Below are 22,958 nucleotides of genomic sequence, written 5' to 3'. Positions count from 1 at the left end.
TCCTGCTTCAGCCTCCTGAGTAGCTGGGATTACAGGCACCCACCACAACACCTGGCTAATTTTTTGTATTTTTAGTAGAGATGGTGTTTCACCATGTTGGTCAATGCTGGTCTCAAACTCCTGACCTCAGGCGATCCACCTGCCTCAGCTTGGCCTCCCAAAGTGTTGGGATTACAGCATGAGCCACCGCACCTGGCCATGCAAGGCCTTTAGAATCCAACCCTTTCATTGTACAGATGGGGAAAATGAGACCCAGAGAGAAAAGATGGTTTTCCTAAAGTCACATGGTGAGTTTGTGCAGAAATTTTGTTGAATCCAGGTCTCATCCTTCATAAAAGATTCTCTAGCCACTGCTACAAGCTGCCAAGTGTCAGGTGGCCAGCAGATGATAATATCAGCGGCCTCAAGGACAACATGACGTTTTGGAATCCCAGACCTTGCATAGGGACTGGCATATTAAAATATGCAGAAACCGGGCACAGTGGCTTGCACCTGTAATCCCATCTACTTGCGGGGCTAAGGCGGGAGGATCACTGAAGTCTAGGAGTTCAAGACCAGCCTGAGTGATATAGCAAGACCCTGTCTCTAAAAAAAGTAAATAAATAAATAAATGTTGGTAGATTGAATTGTGGGATCATTAGTTCAGGTATGGGGGAGGGCTAATGGTGACAGCAGTGACTGTTGAAAAAGTCCAAAATCAGGCAGAAACTGGAATTCAAACGAGGGACTGAATGATGTAGGAGTCACAAGGGGTGTGTGTGCTTGTGTGTGTGTGTGTGAATGTTAATTCTGTCAACACTCAGACTTGAATATGAAAACTTGGCCAAAGAGACGTTCTGAGACAAAGGGCCTCTGTTCGCAGCTGGCTCAGACCCACCGAGGACAGCTCAGCAGGGCTGAGGAACACTCTGCTGCTCAGGCCCCCGACTGATAAGTGATTGAGACTGTCTGTGAATCATGGATACTTGGACATGCTGAGCCTGGGGAAGAATCACCCTGGACTGATGCCCGAACCGAATAGGCCTGATCCAGCTGGCCTTTCCAGGTCTCAAGTACAAACCGATGGCACGGATCTCTCTGGACACCACAGGGATGTGGAGGCGAGAGTGAAGTCTTGGAGCACACAGATGATACTTCAAGTCCTGATTCTGCCACTTGCTCAGTGGGTGACCTTGGGTAATTTACTAACTTATCCAAGTTTCCATAAAATGGAAGTGATTATTCTAACTTCGTTGTTGAGCACTGTGAGGACTGAGTAAGGTGAAGTATGGAAGCCATTTTGCACAGTGTCTGGTACATAGTAAGGACTCAGTAAGCGCTAGCTCCCTTTCCTACACTCTTCTCCATGGCATTCTACCTGTGTAGCTCACCTGGGATGTGGCTGACTCCCTGTCCTTGTCAATCTCTATTCAAATCTTATCTCGGCATAGAGGCTAGCCACCATATGTTAAATAACACCCTACTACGTTTAATTTTCCCCACATAATTATTATTGCCTGATATTATATTATATATTTATATATTTTTTTCTTTTTTTGAAACAGAGTCTCACTTTGTCACCCAGGCTGGAGTGCAGTGGTGCGATCTCAGCTCACTGCAGCCTCAACCTCCTGGGCTCAAACGATCCTCCCACCCCAGTCCCCAAAGTAGCTGGGACTACAGCACCTGCCACCACACCTGGCTACTACTTTTGTATTTCTTGTAGAGATGGAATTTCACCATGTTGCCTGGGCTTGTCTCGAACTCCTGAGCTCAAGTGATCTGCCTGCCCGCCTCAGCCTCCCAAAGTGCTAGGATTACAGGTATGAGCCACTGCACCCGGCCCTTTGATATGTTATTTTCTTTAAAGTTTGTCATCTTACCTGCCAATTGGGATATAAATTCCATGCAGGAAGGGATTGATTTTGTTCACTGCCTGACACATAATAAACCCTTAATAAACAAGTGAGTGTAGAGAAGGAGGGAGGCAGGAAGGAAATCTATTGAAAAGACTGTTGGCCAGGTGTGGTTGCTCACACCTGTAATCCTAGCACTTTGGGAGGCCGAAGTGAGTGGATCACTTGAGGTCAGGAGTTTGAAACCAGCCTGGCCAACATGGTGAAACCCCGTCTCTACTAAAAATACAAAAAAATTAGCCATGCATGGTGGTGCGTGCCTGTAATCCCAGCTAATCGGGAGGCTGAGGCAGGAGAATTGCTTGAACCCAGGAGGTGGAGGTTGCAGTTAGCCAGGATCACACCACTGCACTCCAGCCTGGGTAACAGAGCGAGACTTTGTCTCAAAAGAAAATAAAAGACTGTTGAAGCTGCTCCTTCTTCTCTTGTCAGATGTGACCACTTCCTTTTGGTAATTTTGTTTTGAAGGTATGGAAGGGGATGCATGAGTTGGATGCAGTGAGACTTTGGAATTAATACATCAGTTAACAATTATAATTCCAGGTACCTGGAAAATTTGCCTTAAATTTCTCTTCTTAAAATTTCGTTAAACTATACACTTATGGTTTGAATAAATGTTATCTGAATAAATCTGAATAAATGTTATACTCCAATTAAAACATTTACTTTTAAAAAGTAAATGACACCAGAGCCCATATCATGGTTTATAATACCATTGTCCAATAAAAGGAACTAGGCCTCCTTAGAGAAATGGCTGATCTAGGGCTGAAGAAGAGAACATACAAGATGAGCCTTGAGCGTCGTATAGTTCTAGAAAGTAAGGAAGTGTTCAAAAATCACAATGATGGGGGTGTGTCAAAGGGACATAGGAGACAACTGAAAGAGCTCCCAATGGCTAACGACATTTGAGCAACAAAAAGCCAGTTGTGGTGGCACATGCCCAGCTACTCAGGAAGCTGAGGTGGGAGGATCCCTTGAGCCTAGGAGTTCAAGGCTATACTGAACTATGATTGTGCCACTGCACTCCAGCCTGGGTGACAGGGTGAGACCCTATCTCTAAAAAAAATAATAATAAGGTATAAAATAAATATCCATGAGTCCATACGGGTATAAAGAAATGACTGAGTAAATAAACAGGGACAAATAGACAAATCTCCTGTACAGAAGAATTCCAAATAATTTATGTAAATACTCTGCCCTCAAAGAGGTGGAGCATATCTCCCCACTGCTTAAGTGTGGACTGTACATATTGACTTTCTTTTAAAGAGTGCAGTATGGAAAGAAGGGGGAAAAAAGAGTAACTTTGCAATGGAGAAACCTGATACATACCGCCTCAGTCAGGTGATTGGTGTTAACACCATCAGTGATAAGTCATGTTAATGGCATGCACCATTAATATGATGGGATGAGAATGGCCGTTTACCTCTGTGGTCTTCTTCCCCAAAACCTATAACCTCTATCTAACCAAGAGAAAAACATCAGACCAATTCCAGTAGAAAGACATTCTGGCCAGGAGCAGTGGCTCACCTTGTAATCCCAGCAGTTTGGGAGGCCAAGGCAGGCAGATTGCTCAAGCCCAGGAGTTTGAGGCCAACCTGGGCAACATGGTGAAACCCCATCTCTATAAAAAAAAAAAATACAAAAATTAGCCAGTATGGTGGCACGTGCCTGAGGTAGGAGGATCACCTGAACCTGACAGACAAGGTTGCAGTGAGTAAAGGTCATGCCACTGCACTCCAGCCTGGGCAACAGAGCAAGACTCTGTTTCAAAAAAGTTATATATATATATATATATATATATATATATATATATATATATATATATATATATATATATAATGGCTAGAAGGAAATACAGTATATCAAAATGTTAACAATGGTCATCTCTGAGCGGTAGGTATCATGGATGTTTTTACTGCCTATTTGCTTCTTTTAGGCTTTCCAGATTTTCTACAATAAATTATTTTACGTTGAAAAATGAAGAAATATAAAATAAGAAAAGCAGATAATTTATTTGCCTGCCTCTCCCATTAGATTGTGAATTCCTTGAAGACTTAAGGGCTTGAGGAATTGTCTTGCTCACTTTAGCACCCTGGCATCTAGCACTCAGACTGGCACAGCATAGGTTCTCTGTAAATATTTAAGTGAAAAGCCTATATTCTTTTCTGCTTTGAGCATAGAGTCTCTTATTTAAGGCACACTTTTTTAGCAAATTTGGCCTGCTTTCTAGGGTATAGCTGATTAGAAATGACAGCCTCCAAGATAAATAGAGGACCTGCTAAAGGCTCTCATTCAATGACAGCAGCAATAGTTACATTATTGTCTTAATTAATTTGGCCCTCATGCCAATCTGTTATTCCACAAACATTTATTGAGCACCTACTATCTGCACAGAATTCCTTTCTTTAAAGAGTTTAAATATAATCCTTATTTATAAATGAGAACACAGATTCAGAAAAGTGATTCACTCAGGTTATATACAGAAATCGGTGGAAAGGCTGAGATTCTTATCTCATGCTGTTCACCACCCCACAAGGCTTTTTAACAGTTGATAAATATTTGAATTATTATGGTCTGTGTGGCAGACATACAGGTAGACTGGCAGGCAGAAAGAAAGAAAAGGCAGTAGGCAGGTAAATTGGCAGTCAGGTAAGCAGGGATGTAGGTCTACTGGTCTCATGAGAATCAGTTGGATTGCTAGAGGCAAACATGGATCTCAGAGAGAAGTGAGTGCTCACAGCAGAACAAGGACGGTGGAGACAGAAACACTACAAAACCAGACCCAAACCTCTGCTGTACATTACAGCCTAAAACAGGCCTTGAGTCTTCAAGAACGTTTAAATTATTATTATTATTATTATTATTATTATTATTTTGAGACAGAGTCTCACTCTGTCGCCCAGGCTGGAGTGCAGTGGCACAATCATGGCTCACTGCAGCCTTGACCTCTCTGGGCTCAGGTGACCCTCCCACCTCAAGGTAGCTGGGACTACAGGCATGCACCACCATGCCTGGCTAATTTTTCTATTTTTTGTAGAGACGAGGTTTTGCCATATTGCCCAGGCTGGTCTCAAACTTCTGGGAAAGTACAAATTTTGTTTAGGATTCTATATATTAGAGGTCAGGGTCTTTTATTATGTCTAGAAAAATTTCTCATTGAAAATGTAGACAACATGTTGGCACCTGAAGAGATAAGCTTTAACGTATCTAGCAAATTCTCTTTTGAAGAATACAATCTGATTATGTGGAATAAAGGCAGCAAATACATATTTTTATCTAAATAAGCATTTCTAATGGATCTAATCTGTCTGAGGCTAAGGACTAGGTGCCCAGAAAGCACAACTTTTACCTTCAAATCTAAAAATATTTACATCTCTTTACCTATGTATATCTTTGTATACATATACACATACGCACAGATTACATATGCACACAAATACTCAAGTAGTATTTATTGATCACTTCTAGTGTGCCTAACATGGTGTTGCATGCAGTTTCACTTAATTCTCCCAGAAGAAACTCTGTACCTTAGGTCCCCATTTCTACAGATGAAAAAACTGAATCTCAGAGAGGGTCAAGATTCTGCTGAAGAGGCTGCAGTGAGCTGAAATTGGACCACTGCACTCCAGCCTGGGCAACAGAGTGAGAATCCATCTAAAAAAAAAAAAAAAAAAATTCTGCTGAAGGTGGTGGCAGAAACGAGTCCCTAGCCAGGTCTTTTGATTTGAGCTACATCACAAGCCAGACACTCTGGGAAGTACAGATACAGAGATAAGTTCATGTGACATTCAGGCATGCCTTCTCTGAAGTCTGCCTTGACCCTGAGGAGCAGTCAGTGTTTTTCTGAATTTTATTGCCCTGTGCTTTCTATCACTACCCTTACCACACTGTTGTTTGACTTGTCTGTTTACTTGTTTACTGTTTGTTTACTTATCCGTCTCTTTCACCAGATTATGAACTCCCTAAAGCTCACAGGTCCCTGAAAGGACTTTGTCAGATTCTCATTTCTGTGCACCTGATACCTGGCACAGAGTGATGCTCAATAAGCGTTTCTTGAAGAAAGGAATTAATGAGCCCAAAACAAGGGTGCAGAAGAACTGGGTTCTAGTCTCAGATCTGTAACTGACAAGTCTGTGTGCATGGGCAAGTCACTTCCTTCTCTGGGTTTCAGTTTCCCTACCTCTAATATGAGGAAGTCAGATTAAATGACCACTAAAGGGTCATTCTGGCTTGAGCCTTTCATGATGTTATGATGTTAAGAGAAAAAATGTGAAAAGTTAAAGGGACTTCATTAATCATATGATATTATTCTCCTAACAAAAAGAGAGCCTCCTTGTTTTGAGACACCCTAAATTGTGTCAGGTTTCATTTGTATTGATACTGTTCACCCAGAAAAATAATTAGCACTGAGAAGTTTTGAGTTCTATTCTAACCTCTTCTACCATAAAGTTCAAGGCCAAAGTTATACAACTATTTCTACAAGCTTTTTAGAATCAATTAACATTTGTCAAATGGAGAATAAAAGAGTCAATCCATTAGTAAGGCTAAGAATCTTATGGCTTAGGCAAAAGACATGATCATGCATCCATTCAGTTATTCACAAATATTTTTCGTTATTACTCTGTGCTAAATACTGGCACACAACGGTCAGCAGAATAGTTATAGATTTTACTAGTCTGGTAGGGAAGACAGACATTACTCAAATTATACACAAACTATTAATTACAGACCGTGAAGTGCTATGATTGACTCTTAAATTTGTGGCACACTTTTCGGGTTATAAAGGGCTTTTCTCACACGTGATTTCATGGGAAGTCATATAAAGAAGTTAAAAGTACAGATTTTGGTGTTACCTAGAACCGGGTCTGAGCCTGGCTTACCCACTTACTTACAACTGGGCTTTTGGGCAAGATTCTGAGCTTCTGTTTCTCTATCTTTTGAATGAGGAAAAAACAGGACATTCATCACAGGGCTGTTAAGAGAATGCAATGAGATGATGCATGAAAGTACTCAGCACAATGCCTGACATACAGTTCTAAACAGTAGCTATGGTTATTACACACATTTTTTCTACATAGCACTTTTTCTTTCTTCTTTCAGAGAAAAGACAATGTATTACGCCATTCTTGCATTGCTATAAAGAAATGCCTGAGACTAGGGCCGGGAGTGGTGGCTCACGCCTGTAATCCCAGCACTTTGGGAGGCCTAGGTGGGTGGATCACGAGGTCAGGAGACGGAGACCATCCTGGCTAACACGATGAAACCCTGTCTCTACTAAAAATACAAAGAATTAGCCGGGCGTGGTGGCACGCTTGAACCAGAGGCGTTGGTTGCAGTGAGCCGAGATCATGCCACTGCATTCCAGCCTGGGCCAGAGCAAGACTTCGTCAAAAAAAAAAAAAAAAAAAAGAAAAGAAAAAGAGAAATGCCTGAGACGGGGTAATTTATAAAGAAACGAGGCTTAATTGGCTCACGATTCTGCAGGATTTACAGGAAGCATGGTTCTGCCATCTGCTCAGCTTCTAGGGAGGCCTCAGGAAGCTTATAATCATGGCGGAAAGTGAAGAGGGAGCAGGTACGTCACATGGTGAAAACAGGAAGGAGACAGAGAGAGTAGGAAGGGGAGGTGCCACACACTTTTAAACCACCAGATCTCAGAGCAAACTCAGAGCAAGAGCTCACTGATCACCAAGAGGATACCCCAAGCTATTCATGAAGGATTCTCCCCACGATCCAAACACCTCCCACCATGCCCCACCTCCAACATTGGAAATTACAATTCAACATGAGGTTTGGTGGGGACATACATTCAAACTATATCAGACAGTTTTGAAATCAGATTTGGGTTCAAATCTCAGGTCTACCACTTACAAGATGCAAAATGGAATTTAAAAATGCCTATCTAACCAGGCCTGGTGGCTTATGCCTGTAATCCCAATACTTTGGGAGGCCAAGGAAGTAGGATCGCTTGAGCCCAGGAGTTTGAGACCAGCCTGGCTAACATAGTGAGATCCTAATTTCAACAAAGAATCAAAAAATTAGCCAGGTGTAGTGGCATGCTTGTGGTCCCAGCTGCTTAGGAGGCTGAGTTGGGAGGATTGCTTGAGCCCAGGAGATTGAGGCTGCAGTGAGCCATGATCATGCCACTGCACTGCAACCTGGGCGACAGAGCAAGACCCTGTCCCAAAACAAACAAACAAAAAAACCCAAAAAAACCCTAAAAACAGAAAGCAAAAACAACCAACAAAAAACCTATCTCACAGCATTGTCCATGAGCATGAATAAGGTGAAGTTTTTAGGGAGCCCCATGAGGGCCTAATACATAACACATCTTTTTGCCTTGGCATCTACCCTTATCCTTCACTGGGTCGATGATGGTCAGAGAAGCAGGATCCACTTCATTCAAGCCACAGCAAGTTAAGGCACAAAGAAGCTCTGAGGCCCCTCCCTCAGGAGGGAGTGACAGAGGTGGTCACCAAGACCTGTCTAATTACCATGACCTTGAAAGAGACGGGGAGACCACAGAAAGTGTTGAGGAGGTAAAACCTCTTCCCTTTTAGAATTTTTTCAGCTGGGCCTGAAAATTAAATTGACATCAGACAGATTAACAGGAGAAAAGCATAGAAATGTATTTAATGTAAGTTTTATGTGACATGGGAGCCCTCCTAAGGAAATGAAGACCTATAGAAGCAGTTAGAGTCAATTACTTATGTGGTGAATGGGCAAAGAATAGTAAGTTGTGAAATGTGGTAAGGGAAAGGGGCTTGGGCCAGGATAATTAGGTAGAGAAGTGATGAGGGAGATAAGGGTTAGTTTAACAAAGTTTGTTTATATAGATTTCCTTTGGCTTCAACTTCCTGTCTTTGATAATAAAAATGTTACTTTCCTTTTGGTATAGGGAAGACATCTTTCATGTGGGGATTTTATCCCCTGCTTTTCAGAAACAGAATGAAGGTCAGAGTGATCTTCTTGCACTTGCTGTTTTATAAGTGCCTTTAATTCAAAATAGTCGATATGGAAGAGCAGCATATTTTGGAGTGCCATGTTCTTAACTCTTTCAAAAGCAAGCTCAAGTCCCCTGGGTCTCATAAGGGGAAACAGTTGAGTCATCAGACGTGAGTAATAGGAGCTGACAGAGCCAGCTCAGGGTGGTCTTACTGGATGTGTGTTGATGTGGGATATTCATAGGTAGAGATAAGGTAATAAACCTAGGTATTGGGGGCTGGGCACGGTGGCTCACGCCTGTAATCCTAGCACTTTGGGAGGCCGAGGCAGGCGGATCACTTGAGGTCAGGAATTCGAAACCAGACCGACCAACATGGTGAAACCGCATCTCTACTAAAAATACAAAAAAAAAAAAAAATTAGCCGGGTGAGGTGGCGGGCACCTGTAATCCCAGCTACTCAGGAGTCTAAGGCAGGAGAATCCCTTGAACCTAGGAGGCTGAGGTTGCAGTGAGCCGAGATCAGGCCACTGCACTCCAGCCTGGGAGACAGAGCAAGACTCCGTCTCAAAAAAATGAAACAAACAAACAAAACCTAGATATTGGGGAGTGGGAGTAGAGAACTATCCATTGAACTACAAGGAGAAGATCAAATAAAGTTTACCCTGAAGGCCTCTTCCAGCTCAAGCTGCCAAATTGCCCTGTGACTCTGGGACCCATAGTGGGCCCAGGAAATGGGAGTCAGCAACTCTGAAGCATAAAATCAGAAAGGCACTGAACATTTGGTTGGAGTGCCAAGACCCAAGAAGAATGCCTCTTTGTCTACATGCCATCCATGCCAAAGCAAAACAAATTTATCAGCATCTCCTTGAAACTACAAGAAAGAGATTAAAAAGTTTAAGAAACAGAACAGGGTAAATGGAAATTGATTGCTCATTGTCATCATTACTAATTCAAGAAGGTATAAAATGTTGTTGCTAATCTCTTTACTTGGTGAGCTGATTTTATTATTTTACTAAACATAAATATGTGTAAGGGATGAGTCCCTCTAAGCACATTTTTCCATCTACTTTTATGAGAATAAATGTTTCATGCCTTTCTTTTGTTTTTGTTTTTGTCTATGATCACCCAACCACCAAATTCATTTCCTTTATTATTATTTTTTTTTTGATACAGAGTCTCGCTCTGTCGCACAGGCTGGAGTGCAATGGTGCATTCTCGGCTCACTGCAACCTCTGCCTCCTGGGTTCAAGCGATTCTTCTGCCTCAGCCTCCTGAGTAGCTGGGACTACAGGCATCCGCCACCGCGCCTGGCTAATTTTTTATATTTTTAGTAGAGACAGGGTTTCACCATATTGGCCAGGCTGGTCTCGAACTCCTGACCTTGTGATCTGCCCACGTTGGCCTCCTAAAGTGTTGGGATTACAGGCATGAGCCACCGCGCCCGGCCTGTTTCATGCCTTTCAACCATACATTCCCATGGTGATTTTCAGCTCTTAATTGTCATGGAGGAGGGTGAAGTAGGATATTAAAGTAGAAGTGCCTCAACTACTTGGTATTCAAGCCACTCCACATGATAATACACAAATAGTGGGATTCAGACAATTGGACAATGAAAGGAATTTCAGGAATATCAGAGTCATCCCTTGACATACCTTTACCGTTCCTGTAAGTCTTGGTCAGTATTAGCTGCATTTTGTCTTTACGTTCTTTTTTTCTCCTTTACTCATAGATGAATGGAAAAAACGATGGGTGCAGTCTAAACATCAGCCGGATTATGGTAAATTTCAGCTCGCTGCAGGATAATTTTATGGAGACAAAGAAAAAGATAAAGGTAAATACTGGAACTCAGTATTAGCACATATAATTATTGTATATTAATATACTAATTGGGAAAATTCTGACTTTTATACAACTGTTTTTGTCTGTGATATCACCCAGTCACCAAATTCATTTCCTTTTTTTTTTTTTTTTGAGATGGAGTCTCACTCTGTCGCTCAGACTGGAGTGCAATGGTGCAATCTCGGCTCACTGCAACCTCCGCCTCCCGGGTTCAAGCGATTCTCCTGCCTCAGCCTCCTGAGGAGTTGGGACTAAAGGCTCACGCCACCCTGCTCAGCTAATGTTTATATTTTTAGTAGAGACGGGGTCTCACCATGTTGGCCAGGATGGTCTCCATCTCTTGACCTTGTGATCTGCCCGCCTTAGCCTCCCAAAATGCTGGGATTACAGGTGTGAACCACCGTGCCTGGCCTTTTTTTTTTTTTTTTTTTTTTTTTGAGATGGAGTTTCATGCTTGTTTCCCAGGCTGAAGTGCAATGGTACAATCTCGGCTCACCACAACCTCGGCCTCCCAGGTTCAAGTGATTCTCCTGCCTCAGCCTCCCAAGTAGCTGGGATTACAGGCATGCACTACCATGCCCGGCTAATTTTGTATTTTTAGTAGAGACAGAGTTTCACTATGTTGGTCAGGCTCATCTCAAACTCCCAACCTCAGGTGATCTGTCTGCCTCTGCCTCCCAAAGTGTTGGGATTATAGGTGTGAGCCACTGCACCCGACCTTTTTTTTTTTTTTGGAGATGGAGTCTCACTCTGTCACCCAGGCTGGAGTGTAGTGGCACAATCTTGGCTCACTGCAACCTCTGCCTCCCTGGTTCAAGCGATTCTCTGGCCTCAGCCTCCCAAGTAGCTGGGACTACAGGCATGTGCCATCACACCCAGCTAATTTTTGTATTTTTAGTAGAGACAGGATTTCACCATGTTAGTCAGACTGGTCTCAAACTCCTCATCTCAGGTGATCCGCTCACCTCAGCCTCCCGCATTGCTGGGATTACAGGTGTGAGTGCCACTGCGCCTGGCCCACCCAATTCATTTCTCTTTCCTAAAATAAAAAATTAGTAGATGGAGTGCTCACTTTGGCAGCACATATACTAAAAAAATTAGCAGATGGAAAAGAATGAACTCTCCACAAATATAATATGTCCATTCATTGAATAACAGGAGTTCAAAACTAAGCCCTTCCACAAATCCCCGTTAGTCTTCCTAACAACTTTAATATGTGATTACTATTACTTTCCCAGTTTTTCAGAGGAGCCTCAGAGAGGTTATTTGCCCAAGGCTATATACACAGCTGGCAAGAGGTAGAATCTGATTCTGGATCTGACTGTAGGGACTATATTCATTACTGCTGGACTATGCTGCTTTCCCCAACCCCCTAGGATTTTAAAAATAGCACGCTGCACTTGAAACAGGGGAAGACACTGTATAACATCCAAATGTTCTTCTTCCCTAGAGGAGCTTAGTGTGACGGAGAGAGGAGCAGACAGACCTAGGGCTAACTCCCATGACTTACTAGCTGCATAATTTCGGCAATTCTTATTTCTCTGAGCTTCAATACTAGATGGAGATAATAACCATTGCCTGCCATGCTCATTAGACAGGGCTTTTGTTAAGAGCCAAATAACATTGTGGAGGAAGGGTGAGCTCTGAGCACAAGTTCTGCAGGATTGGGTTTTTTGTCTGAGAAAGCTTTTGTCCGCTAAGTAGAATTCATTGATCTTTCCCTGAAGTGATTTCCTATCTTCTTCCTCCTGGCTACTGTTATGAATCTCATTTTCATATTGATTAAAGGAGAGAATTATGAACTGGCTTGAGAATCTTAAATTTTAAATCCACTCTGGAAAACTGTTCCCAGAGTATTAAACGGTATTAAAGGGAAAACCATTTCCAGAGTAGAGAGAAATTGGAGACGGTGTGACCCACGGGAAGCTGTGCCTTGGTGATGCCAGTGAGGGTAGTCTGCTCAGCCACTCATCTCCTCTCAGTGTGGTTTCTTGGTTGTTGTCCCTCACATTGTATCCCACTCAGGTTCATTGGATTCCTCCTAGTTCTTTAGAAGAGTCCTGGGTTACAAAAGAGGCTCAGAGAGAAGGCAGGTGGAATTGAGCTACGAAGTAGGGTTTGGCAGAATAGAGACTCAAAACTTGGTCTTGCCTGCAGGTTCGGTGCTCTTTGCCTTGTGCACACGCCCTCCTCCGTGAAGTCTTCCCTGGTTACTCTAGCTGTTCTTGGGGTCTTTGGGGAAGTAAGCATACTTTGTTCAATTTTGTTTTGTTTTGATTAAGACAGGGTCTTGCTCTGTCACCCAGGCTGGAGTGCAATGGTGTGATCGTAGCTCACTGCAGCCTCAAACTCCTGGGCCCAAATGCTTCTCCCACCTCAGCCTCTGGAGTAGCTGGGACTACAGGCATGTACCACCATCCCCAACTAATTTTTAATTTTTTTTGCAAAGACAAGGTCTCATTATGTTGCCCATGCTGGTCTTAAACTCCTGGCCTCAAGCAGTCCTCCTGCCCTGACATACTAAAGTACTGGGATTAGAGGCATGAACCACCATGCCAGGCCAAGCATATTATTTAAAATGTAGACAACTCCTAACATAATGTCAGACATGAAAGTGTTTACCACAGAGCCTGGTGTACAATAAGTGCTCTTGAGATGTCTGAATCAGGACCTGTGATTCTTCTGTGTAATTTAACACATACTTATTGAGTCTTTCTTCTATGTCAGGTCCTGTTCCAGATTCAGGGAATATAAAGATGCACCTGTTCTTCAGAAGCTAAAAATTATTCAAAGAGACTGAAATAAACCTAGTTTCAACATAGTGTGACCCAGGAAAGTACAGAGAGCTGTGGGATCATAAGGAAGGACCCAGCCGGGTGTGGTGACTCACGCCTGTCAGGAGTTCGAGACCAGCCTGGCCAACATGCTGAAACCCCATCTCTACTAAAAATACAAAATTAGCCGGGCGTGGTGGCGGGAACCTATAATCCCAGCCACTTGGGAGGCTGAGGCAGGAGAATCATTTGAACCTGGGAGGCGGAGGTTGCAGTGAGCCGAGATTATGCCACTGCACTCCAGCCTGGCGACAGAGCAAGACTCCGTCTCCAAAAAAAAAAGGAACCTCACCAAGTACGAATAATGATAGCCCCTTACATTTTATGTTGACAGTTTACAAAGTACTTCTCAGATCTCTTACTCACTTGACCTTCACCAGGAATCCTATGAGATAGGAATAATTCTCCACGTTTTGCTGATATGAAACTGAGACTCAGAGAGTTAACAGAGCCCTAACCAGTAAGCTGGGCAGCAGCATGGAATAATAGAAAGACCACTAGCCTGGAGGCCAGGAGACTTTGCTTGTATGGCATGATTTCATTTGTGACTCTGTCATCTTGAGTAAGTAACCTTTCCTCCCTGGGGCTTGGTCTGCTCATCTATAAAGTAATGTGGTTAGACTAGAAAGGCTCTGAGATCTATTATTACCCTGATACTCTCTGGAGGAGGAAGTAAAGTCTTATAGTTGAAGATGGGGGCTCTAGAATTAAATGAACTGGTTGAGTGATCCTGCACAAGTGAAATAGCCTCAATGGCTTCATGATAAAGCAGAGAAATTAGGAGAACCCACTTCATGGGGTTATTATGAAGATTAAGTACAGTAGTAATATATGTGAATGAAACACATTGGTAACGAGTAAGTGTTCAGTGAATGTTAGCAGTGATTACTATTTGATCTACGAGGCTATGGTAGAAAGATGTCCAGAAAGTGCAGGGGCTCTTTCTACCACAGCATTTTTGTATGGTAGAACCTCATTCTGGTCACCCAGGGGAGCCTCGGAAAAACAGGCCTTTGTTTTGTAAAGTTGTAGAACAGTCTTCAAGTATCTCTTGAAAATCAGAGGTAGCATGGTATGCAGAAAGAATCAGACAAACGTGGCTTAAAATTCCAGCTTGGCTCCTTGCTAGCTATGTGGCCCTAGGCAGGTGACTCACCTCCTTATGACTCAGCCTCCTGATTGTAAAGTGGAGATAATACTCATTTTGCAGGGTTGCTCTGAGGCTTGAATAAAAGTATGTGTGCAAAGCTTTCAGCACAGGTATGGAAGAAAATACCAGAGATTGGTGAGGTCAAGTGCTGGATCTCTCTGGCTGCTTTTTGGGTATTTAAGCCTGAAGACTCTGTGCTTTCTGCTTCTAGGTCTCCAAACCAGTGAACATGCCAAGTTTTATGCCTTCTCAACCAGGTTGAAGCATTCAGCAATGAGAATGAGACCTTGGTGTTTCAGTTTTCAGTAAAACACAAGCAAAGGAAGTATTGTGGTGGCGGATATGTAAAACTCTTTCCTGCCACCCTGAACCAGGAGGATATGCACTCAGGATCCAAGTATCACATCATGTTTGGTAAGCTCTCTGATAGCAGTCACTGTCAGCTCCATTAGGTCCTAATGACAGCCACTGTAGTTGTTGAAAACGCTCAGATTCACTTGGAACAGAAAATGTCTAATATGATAACTCCACCCCGCCTCCATGTGGCAGGACTCTTCAAAGACCTGAAAAAAGCAACTCTAAACCTGAATGTTAATATAAGTAAACCACAGAGGTGGGGAGGCACATGGTACCATATTAAGAAATCTATAGCACAGGGAGACATTTTCCAGTTCTCAGAAGAGGAGAAGGAGGTCATCAGCTACGTAGACCCTCTCACAGGTACACTACAATAAGGCATTGTACTCTGCCTCAGTGAGAGAAAGGCACAGGAGGTCAAGGAAGTGACCTTTTTTTAGCATCTGAAATGTGTCCAGAGTGTTGTATCTGTAACCTAAATATGTAACTAGGCCTCCTTGGGGCAGTCCAGATCTTACTTAAGCACGTGTGTGTTTTGGATAGTGAGAGTGGTAACATGGGAGGTAAGGTTGAAAATTAAGTTAAGGCTGGGTGCAGTGGCTCACCCCTGTAATTCCAGCACTCTGGGTGGCGGGGGGCTGAGGCGGGTAGATCACTTGAGGTCAGGAGTTCGAGAGCATCCTGGCCAACATGGTGAAACCCCATCTCTACTGAAAATACAAACATTAGCCAGGCATGGTGGCTAGCACCTGTAATACCAGGCAGGATAATTGCTTGAACCTGGGAGATGGAGGTTGTAGTGAGCCGAGATTGCACCACTGCACTCTAGCCTGGCTGATAGAGCAAGACTCCGTCTCGAGAAAAAGAAAAATTAGCCAGGTGTGGTGGCGGGAGCCTGTAATTCCAGGTACTCAGGAGGCTGAGGCAGCAGAATTGCTTGAACCTGGGAAGCAGAGGTTGCAGTGAGCTGAGGTTGCACCACTACACTCCAGCCTGGGCGACAGCCTGGGTGACAGAGTGAGACTCTGAGACTCCGTCTCAAAAAAAAGAAAAGAAAAGAAAATTATGTTAAATCTATTCCCAACTGTTGGCAGATAAGGCTTTCTGGGCTCAGAGACACTGATGATCTCTAGAGTTCCCTCTAGAGTTTTTACAAAGCATAAAGGGCCCCAGGCTCTGTTTCTAGGTAGCCTTGGGTTTGAATACCAACAATGCTACTTACTAGCTGTTTGTCTTTGAGCAACCTGCTTAACTGTTCTGAGCCACAATTTTCCCAGCTAAAAGTGGGGGATAGTAACACCTACTTGTAAGAATTAAATGACATGGTATAAAATGCCTGACACAGAAGGGGTTTCTGGTTGGGTTTGGTCAATGGGAGCCCTGGGAGATCAGAGATGGAAAAGAGAGTTGTGTTCCTCAACTGAAAGTCAGCTTCTCTCTTGCCTGTCTTTTCCACAGGATTCTTTCTTCCAGGCTCTGGCAAGCACTCCTTCTAGCCCCTTTAGGCCTAGGGGTAGAACCCCATTGTTGCTAGCCCTGAGCATAGCACTATACTTTATGTTTTCACAATGTCCTGCCCCAACCTTTGTAAATAGTCCTTTTATTAAATCCTTCTCAAATAATCCCAAATTTGATTGTGCCATCTATATCCTGCTGGGACTCTGATTAATACACATGCTGTGTTTGTCTTGGGTCTTGGCCTTAGACCAGGCAAACTGCCTTAAAGCTATGTGAAATTATGCTTTGGGGTTTAATTTCCAGGCCCTGACATTTGTGGCTTTGGCAACAACAAAGTACAGGTCATCCCTCATTACTGAGAGAAATACCATGAGAACAAGACCATCAAGTGCAGGGTGAGTGTGTGCTGGTCCTCAGCCAAGGGGGAAGGAGATGCATTTTATATGTGTTATCTCATTTAATTCTTACAAAATCTTATAAATTAAATACTGTCATCTCCATTTTACAGGTTAAAAAGTAGATCTAGAGAAATGCTGTAAATTGCAGGATTTCATCAAGGAGCAGTTGATCCAAAAGCCTAAGAAGTTATATGAGGTCCTCCTGTGGAACAATGCTTGGCATAGCCCAGTTCCCCACTGCTAGACATGGGAGAGGATGGGGGAGGGAGGGAGTGTTGGACTTAGAAATGGGGATGGGTAGTCAGTTTATCATAGTAACATCAAGTTAGAGACACCTAGGTTGGCTAGAGGATAGTAGGTGGATTTCATCAGCAACTCAACAGGGATTCAAATACTAACTCTGTTTTGGGCCTTAGGCTGGGGACAGAGTGGGCCAGACATGGCCTTTGACTTCACAGAACTCACAGTCAATGAAGGTAAGAGTCAAGCAAAGTGACTACCTAGTATGCTGGGCATCTGTGGGAGCACAGAAGAGGACCCCTACCCAACCTGGAGGCTAAGGAAATACTTCTTAGGTAAGAGTTCTCCTGAGCTGCACTTCAGAAGATGAACATGACTTGATCTTGTGAAGTGATAAGACAATTTTAGGGAGAATTGAATTCTTAGAAAAGATAATCACAGAAGGAAAGTCACAGCGACTTGAGAAAGAGTAGCACTGCAAGTGGGAGCATGGAGAGAGGCAGGAACCGAGCCTAGAAAAGCCCACAGGAGTCATTGGAGAATGAGTGTTTCACACCCAAGGCCTTCTTTAGCAAGACTGTGTAAAGGCTGTACCATGCAGGAGCTCTCTGAGATCCTCCTCTGGGGCAGGCCTCATGCTGGAAGCTGCAGACACAACAGACAAATCATATATGACACCTGCTCACAGTCTAGTGGGACAGGCAGAAAGACAGGTAAGATCAGAGAATGATGAGAGCTGCAGTGCAGGGAAGGATGAAGGCTAGGGAGACCAGAGGAGTGTGTACTATGAGAAGAGGCCCAGAATCCATATAAGGTTAACCAGAAAAATGGGTTAAAGAGTGTGGTAAGGTTTGTTTGTGACTATGTGGGTGGTGGCATTCAGGGAACTGAGGGTCTGGTGCATTTAATGCTTGGGATCTAAAGATGTTCAAAATGGAACTGAAATATTTCCCCATTCCCTTTATAGATCAATAAAGACCCTCACCTGTACACTCTGATTATTCGCCCCAATGCTACTTATGAGGTTAAAATTGACAACCAGCAGGTGGCAGCTGGGGCTCTGGAGGAGGACTGGGACTTCTTGCCTCCCAGGAAAATAAAAGACCCTACGCCCAGAAACCAAAGAAATGGGATGAACGCCTGCACATAGAGGATCTGGAAGACAAGAAACCTGACATCAGAGGGCATTTGGCTGGGAAGCAGGTGGGATCTCAGCTGTGGAGATAGGAGAAGGAGGCTGGGAATGATGGAGCAGAGACTGGGGACATCAATCCCTCAAGGAGTTGTTCAGCTAGATATTGTTTTCCAAAGAGGCATGGAGGGAAGAGGGCAGCCACTCACCTTTGTTGGGGATCCAGCAGCCTCTGTGAACAATGTGTTATGATCCCTCTTTTGTGGATAAGGAAACTGATGCTTAGAAAATGAAGTAACTTGCCCAAGCATACATGCGTTAGAACCAAGATTTGAACCTACATCTTTTTGACTCTTAAGTTATCAATATGGGGAATGTGTGGAGTATACTCATTGGCTCATTATTATTATTCTGGAAAGCTGTACTGGATATAGCTATGAATAGAACAACCCTTGCCCTCTAGGGATTCTGAATATAGTAAGGGAGGCAGATAAGAAAACAAAGATCAAAATATGTGATCAGTGCTGAGAGCCAGGGAGGCAAGCCAGTGAGAGCCCAAAAGCGGATCCCAGCCCAGCCTGAGTTGAGGTGTAGGCAGTGGTCTGAGAAAGAGAAGGAAATGCTTGAGTGAGTGAGTTAACCTAGGAGTTGGAAACATAAACTCTGGGGTCAGGCTGATATGGGTTGGAGCACCACCTTTTTCTAACTATGGGACCCCATCCTACTAGCAGTTAACTCTGCACAAGGAATATAACTGCTGTGAAAGTCAACTTCACAAACAGGTATTATTTTAATACTTACGTGTGAAGGTTACTGTGAAGATTAAATGAGCTAATAAAAAATACATAATGTAGTGTCTGGTATATAGGAAGTCCTTAATGTATGGCCTTTATATGTTAATAATATGCTGAATTTCAAATAATAGATTTATTAGAGAAAAGTAAGAGGGAAACTGGGGTGGAGGGAAGACATTCCAGACTCAGGGAACAGCAGGAGCAAAGGCACAGTGGTTAGTTAGGAAATAACATGGTGTGTAAAAAACTGACAGCAGTAGTTCAGTATTTGGGGAACATAAGGTTCAAGGTGGGGCATGGTAGGAGATAAGGTTGGAAAGGTCTGTTGGAGCCAGGCCAGGAAGGGCCTCACCCACCACATTGCTACTCTGCAGGTCAGAGCAGAGTCAGTGTCATGCAGAAGAGATGCTTGAGGTCAGGCAGGGGTCAGCATGGGACCAGGTAACTGGAGTCCAGCCCCTAAAGAGAGGCCTGCAGAGAGACGGGCAGTTGCCTAGCCACGTGTAGGGAGATTTAGCAAAGGGCCCCAATCCTTGGTGGAGGGAGGTGTAGTAAGGGAATTAAGGCAGATGATCAGGCAAAGTGTCTGGGCCTTCAGCACCATGGAAAAATAAGGGGCTGGGTTGCTGCCATGCCCAGAAGGCAGGCTTAGGGTAGGAAGACTAAACATGGACCCTCCCCTCCTGGTGAGGACCATGCACCTGATGTAGTCAGGGTTGGCTTGGCTCAAGGACTTGGGGAGAGTAGAGAGGCTGCAGGCCTCTATGCTCCCTGTTGAGTGGAACAAGGGAAGATGGAAACTGATTAAATCAACAGGGCACTGTCACAACTATAGCCCCCAGGATAGGATGCTGTCTGTCTTAGGAATCATAAAACGGCTAGAACAGGCTAGGAACCAGAGAACTTTCCCAATCACAATTGTGTTGAATGACTGTGAATTTGGTGGGCTGGCATAGAAGCCTTCAGTCATTCTGGACAAATGGTCACAACCAAAGCAAACTGCCAGGCAGGCAGAGCAAAGCCTTGGAGGCTCCACAGCATAGAAATATAAAAGTTGGGGTAGGCTGTTTTTGATCTTGTAGATCTCTGTCTTAGGAAATCAGAGGGTCCTGGGGTACAAGGAAGGACTGACACAGGCCTGGGAGCATACTGGGATACAAAGCAGGTCACCAAGAGGCCTTCAAGAAGAGGGACCTAGGCTAAAATACCTATTATAACAATAAGGGCCCATGATTGTGGGGGAGGGTGTGGCCAGAGACAAGGGAAATTCCCATCTTACTTAAGCTTAAAGAACTCAAGGTCAAAATGATAGTGAACCCAGAGGAGGGATTGGAAGTGCTTAAAGCCTCTTTCTTTTCTGCCCTGCATTTGTTTACAGGTCCTGAGCTGGACCTTCATATAGATGATGATGGGAGGGGGCAGAGGGAAGGAGCCAGGTCCAGCCTGACAGCACTCTGGACCCCCGTTTTCTTTTCTTTTCTTTTCCTTTCTTCTCTTTTCTTTCTTGCTTTCTTTTTTTTTTTTTTTTTTGAGATGATCTCGCTCTGTCACCCAGGCTAGAGTGCAATGGCATGATCATGGCTCACTGTGACCTCTGCCTCCTGGGCTCAGATCCTCCCACCAGGTGCATGCCACCACACTTGCCTAATTTTTAAAGTTCTTTGGGGTAGGGATGGGGTCTCACTATATTGCCCAGGCCGGTCTTGAACTCCTGGGCTCAAGCAGTCCTCCCACGTTGGCCTCCAAAGTGCTAGGATTATAGATGTGAGCCACCACGCCCAGCCTGGACCCCAGTTTTTTCTCAGCCTACGCATCTATCCTCATGAAGGAACATTTCATTTTAGTACTGGGAAGACTTTGAATACATCCTGGATCCAGAAGCCAAGAAGCCAGATAACTGGAAGGAGGCTATGGATGGGGAGTGGGAAAGGCCTCTGATGCCAAATCCGAAGTATAAGGTGAGGGGGGTCTCTCTTTCCAATGGGTGTGAGAAATGAGACAAAAGACATGTCAACGCTAATTGATGAAACAGAAATTCTGAGATCCTGTGGTCATCTTCCCTTCCCCTAAACCCCGCAAATAAGACTGTACCCTCATCTGAGCCCTGCTCACAGGGCTATGCCTACGTTGGACGGGGTGGGCTGGTAAAGGCCAACTTTGACAGGTATAGGGCCAGGCAGCCCTGGGCCTGGAGTTTGTCCAGAGTGGTGGAAAGCAGCCAGTCACAGGAATGTGGTCAAAATAGGACATGGGTTTGGGGTCAGGAACTGGAAGTCTTAGAAACAGGCCAGAAGGAGAAAGGGTGTCCATGAATGAGCCAAAAATGCAAGGGGTAGGGACACTTTTTATTTTATTTATTTATTCATTTATTTTGAGACAGAGCGTTGCTCTGTCACCCAGGCTGCAGTGCAGTGACGTGATCTCGGCTTACTGCAACCTCCACCTCCTGGGCTCAAGAGATTCTCATGCCTCAGCCTCCCGAGTAGCTGGGACTACAGGCACGTGCCACCACGCCTGGCTAATTTTTTGTATTTGCAGTAGAGACGCGGTTTCACTCTATTGGCCAGGCTGGTTTTGAATTCCTGACCTCAAGCGATCCGCCTGCCTTTGCCTCCCAAAGTGCTAGGATTACAGGAGTGAACCACTGCACCCAGCCAAGGGACACTTATTTTTAAGAGCTAACTCCTGACCTCATGTTAGAAGCAAGAAGAACGAAAGGAATCAGTGTCAAATTGTCCAGAGGTAAAACTGACTGAAGCAAGCATGATTTTATTTGGCCACAGTTTCCTACACTACACACCAGGAAGAGAACGGCCTCAACTGCCAGGATACTCAGATGATATTCTCTGAGAAGCTACATTTTCTTTATTTCATGAATGAGCTGGTGCAGACATGGGGCCAAGCTCAGAATGGGTCCCTGCCACCTCGCTTGGCTTCCTCTGGGTAGCAAGGGGAATTTGAAAGAATCTTGTGCATTAACTCAAAGAAAGGGAAAGAAGCTCCTGGAATCCTTCTCTGAATCCTTATGTCTAATACACAACTGCCTCATAAATCAATTGGTGTATTAGTCCATTCTTGCATTGCTATAAAGAAATACCTGAGACTGGGTAATTTATAAAGAAAAGAGGCTTAATTGGCTCATGGGTCTGCAGGCTATAGCTATACAGAAAGCATGGCAGCATCAGCTTCTGGGGAGGCCTCAGGTGTCCACTGTGATGGCGGAAAGTGATGGCAGGGTTTCTCACACGGTGGGAGCAGGAGCAAGAGAGAAAGGGGGGAGGTGCTACACAATTTAAAAGTAACCAGATATCATGATAACTCACTCACTATGCAGTACCAAGGGGGGATCGTGCTAAACCATTTATGAGAACTCTGCCCCCATGATCCAATCACCTCCCACCAGGCCTCACCTCCAACACTGGGGATTACAATTTGACATGAGATTTGGGTGGGGACACAGATCCAAACCATATCAATTGGCCTTTCTGATTGCATGAGATCAGAAGAATGACAAAATACTAATGCCTTGTTCACTGGTTCTTTGCTTAGGGAGAATGGAAACCTTGGATCATTGAAAATCCCAATTACCAGGGGGAGTAGATTCATCCCAAAATAGACAACCCTAAATATAAGCCTGACGCCACCATTTGTCACTATTATAACATTAGTGTTCTCAGCCTGGACCTTTGGCAGGTAAAGCCCTCTGAGCTCAGAGCCACTGAGCCACAGTCTCTCAGTTTTCACAAAGTAGAAAGAGCCTCAGGCTGGAAATCACAAGACTTGAATAAGTCTTGGTCTTTATAAGCCTCAGACTGCTGATCTTTTAAATGGGGGCAGTCATAGTCTTCCTAATAATTATAAGTTACTAAAATTTACTGAGTCCCTCTCATGTACCAAATGCTGTATTAAAGACTT

The 22,958-nt window shown here is 44.0% G+C and overlaps 1 protein-coding gene, 1 long non-coding RNA gene and 1 pseudogene across 6 annotated transcripts in view, besides 2 other annotated features; 1 reads left to right on the top strand and 2 right to left on the bottom strand.

Moving 5' to 3' along the window:
* Window positions 1–22,958, bottom strand: part of OSBPL9 (oxysterol binding protein like 9) — a 270,948-nt gene that overhangs the window by 204,594 nt on the left and 43,396 nt on the right. For all 4 annotated transcript variants that reach the window (NM_001416294.1, NM_001416293.1, NM_001416292.1 and 1 more), the window contains one exon: window positions 10,494–10,633. The gene's annotated coding sequence lies outside the window, so the exon portion shown is untranslated. The remainder of the gene's footprint in view (window positions 1–10,493; window positions 10,634–22,958) is intronic.
* CALR4P (calreticulin 4, pseudogene) lies at window positions 895–22,760 on the top strand (annotated as a pseudogene). The gene is made up of 9 exons (NR_161259.1): window positions 895–1,176; window positions 1,706–1,802; window positions 10,571–10,672; window positions 14,876–15,078; window positions 16,783–16,874; window positions 17,294–17,452; window positions 18,085–18,320; window positions 20,888–21,001; window positions 22,593–22,760. The product of NR_161259.1 is annotated as a calreticulin 4, pseudogene (transcript).
* Window positions 5,316–22,958, bottom strand: part of EPS15-AS1 (EPS15 antisense RNA 1) — a 61,039-nt gene continuing 43,396 nt past the window's right edge. The window contains exons 3-5 of the long non-coding RNA NR_183651.1: window positions 10,494–10,633; window positions 6,788–6,867; window positions 5,316–5,549 (exon numbers count right to left, since the gene is read on the bottom strand). This is a non-coding gene — a long non-coding RNA (EPS15 antisense RNA 1). The remainder of the gene's footprint in view (window positions 5,550–6,787; window positions 6,868–10,493; window positions 10,634–22,958) is intronic.
* Window positions 14,999–15,158: an enhancer, noted in NCBI's record as "active region_1026". NCBI's record gives its function as "activates an Ori minimal core promoter by ATAC-STARR-seq in GM12878 lymphoblastoid cells {active_cell/tissue: GM12878}" and the evidence as "EXISTENCE:reporter gene assay evidence [ECO:0000049][PMID:35858748]".
* Window positions 15,319–15,368: an enhancer, noted in NCBI's record as "active region_1025". NCBI's record gives its function as "activates an Ori minimal core promoter by ATAC-STARR-seq in GM12878 lymphoblastoid cells {active_cell/tissue: GM12878}" and the evidence as "EXISTENCE:reporter gene assay evidence [ECO:0000049][PMID:35858748]".

The sequence above is a fragment of the Homo sapiens genome, chromosome 1 (genome assembly GCF_000001405.40).
Source record: "Homo sapiens chromosome 1, GRCh38.p14 Primary Assembly".
NCBI lineage: Eukaryota > Metazoa > Chordata > Mammalia > Primates > Hominidae > Homo > Homo sapiens.
The sequence above is the reverse complement of the archived record's forward strand: the minus strand, read 5'-3'. Positions and strand labels throughout refer to the sequence as shown.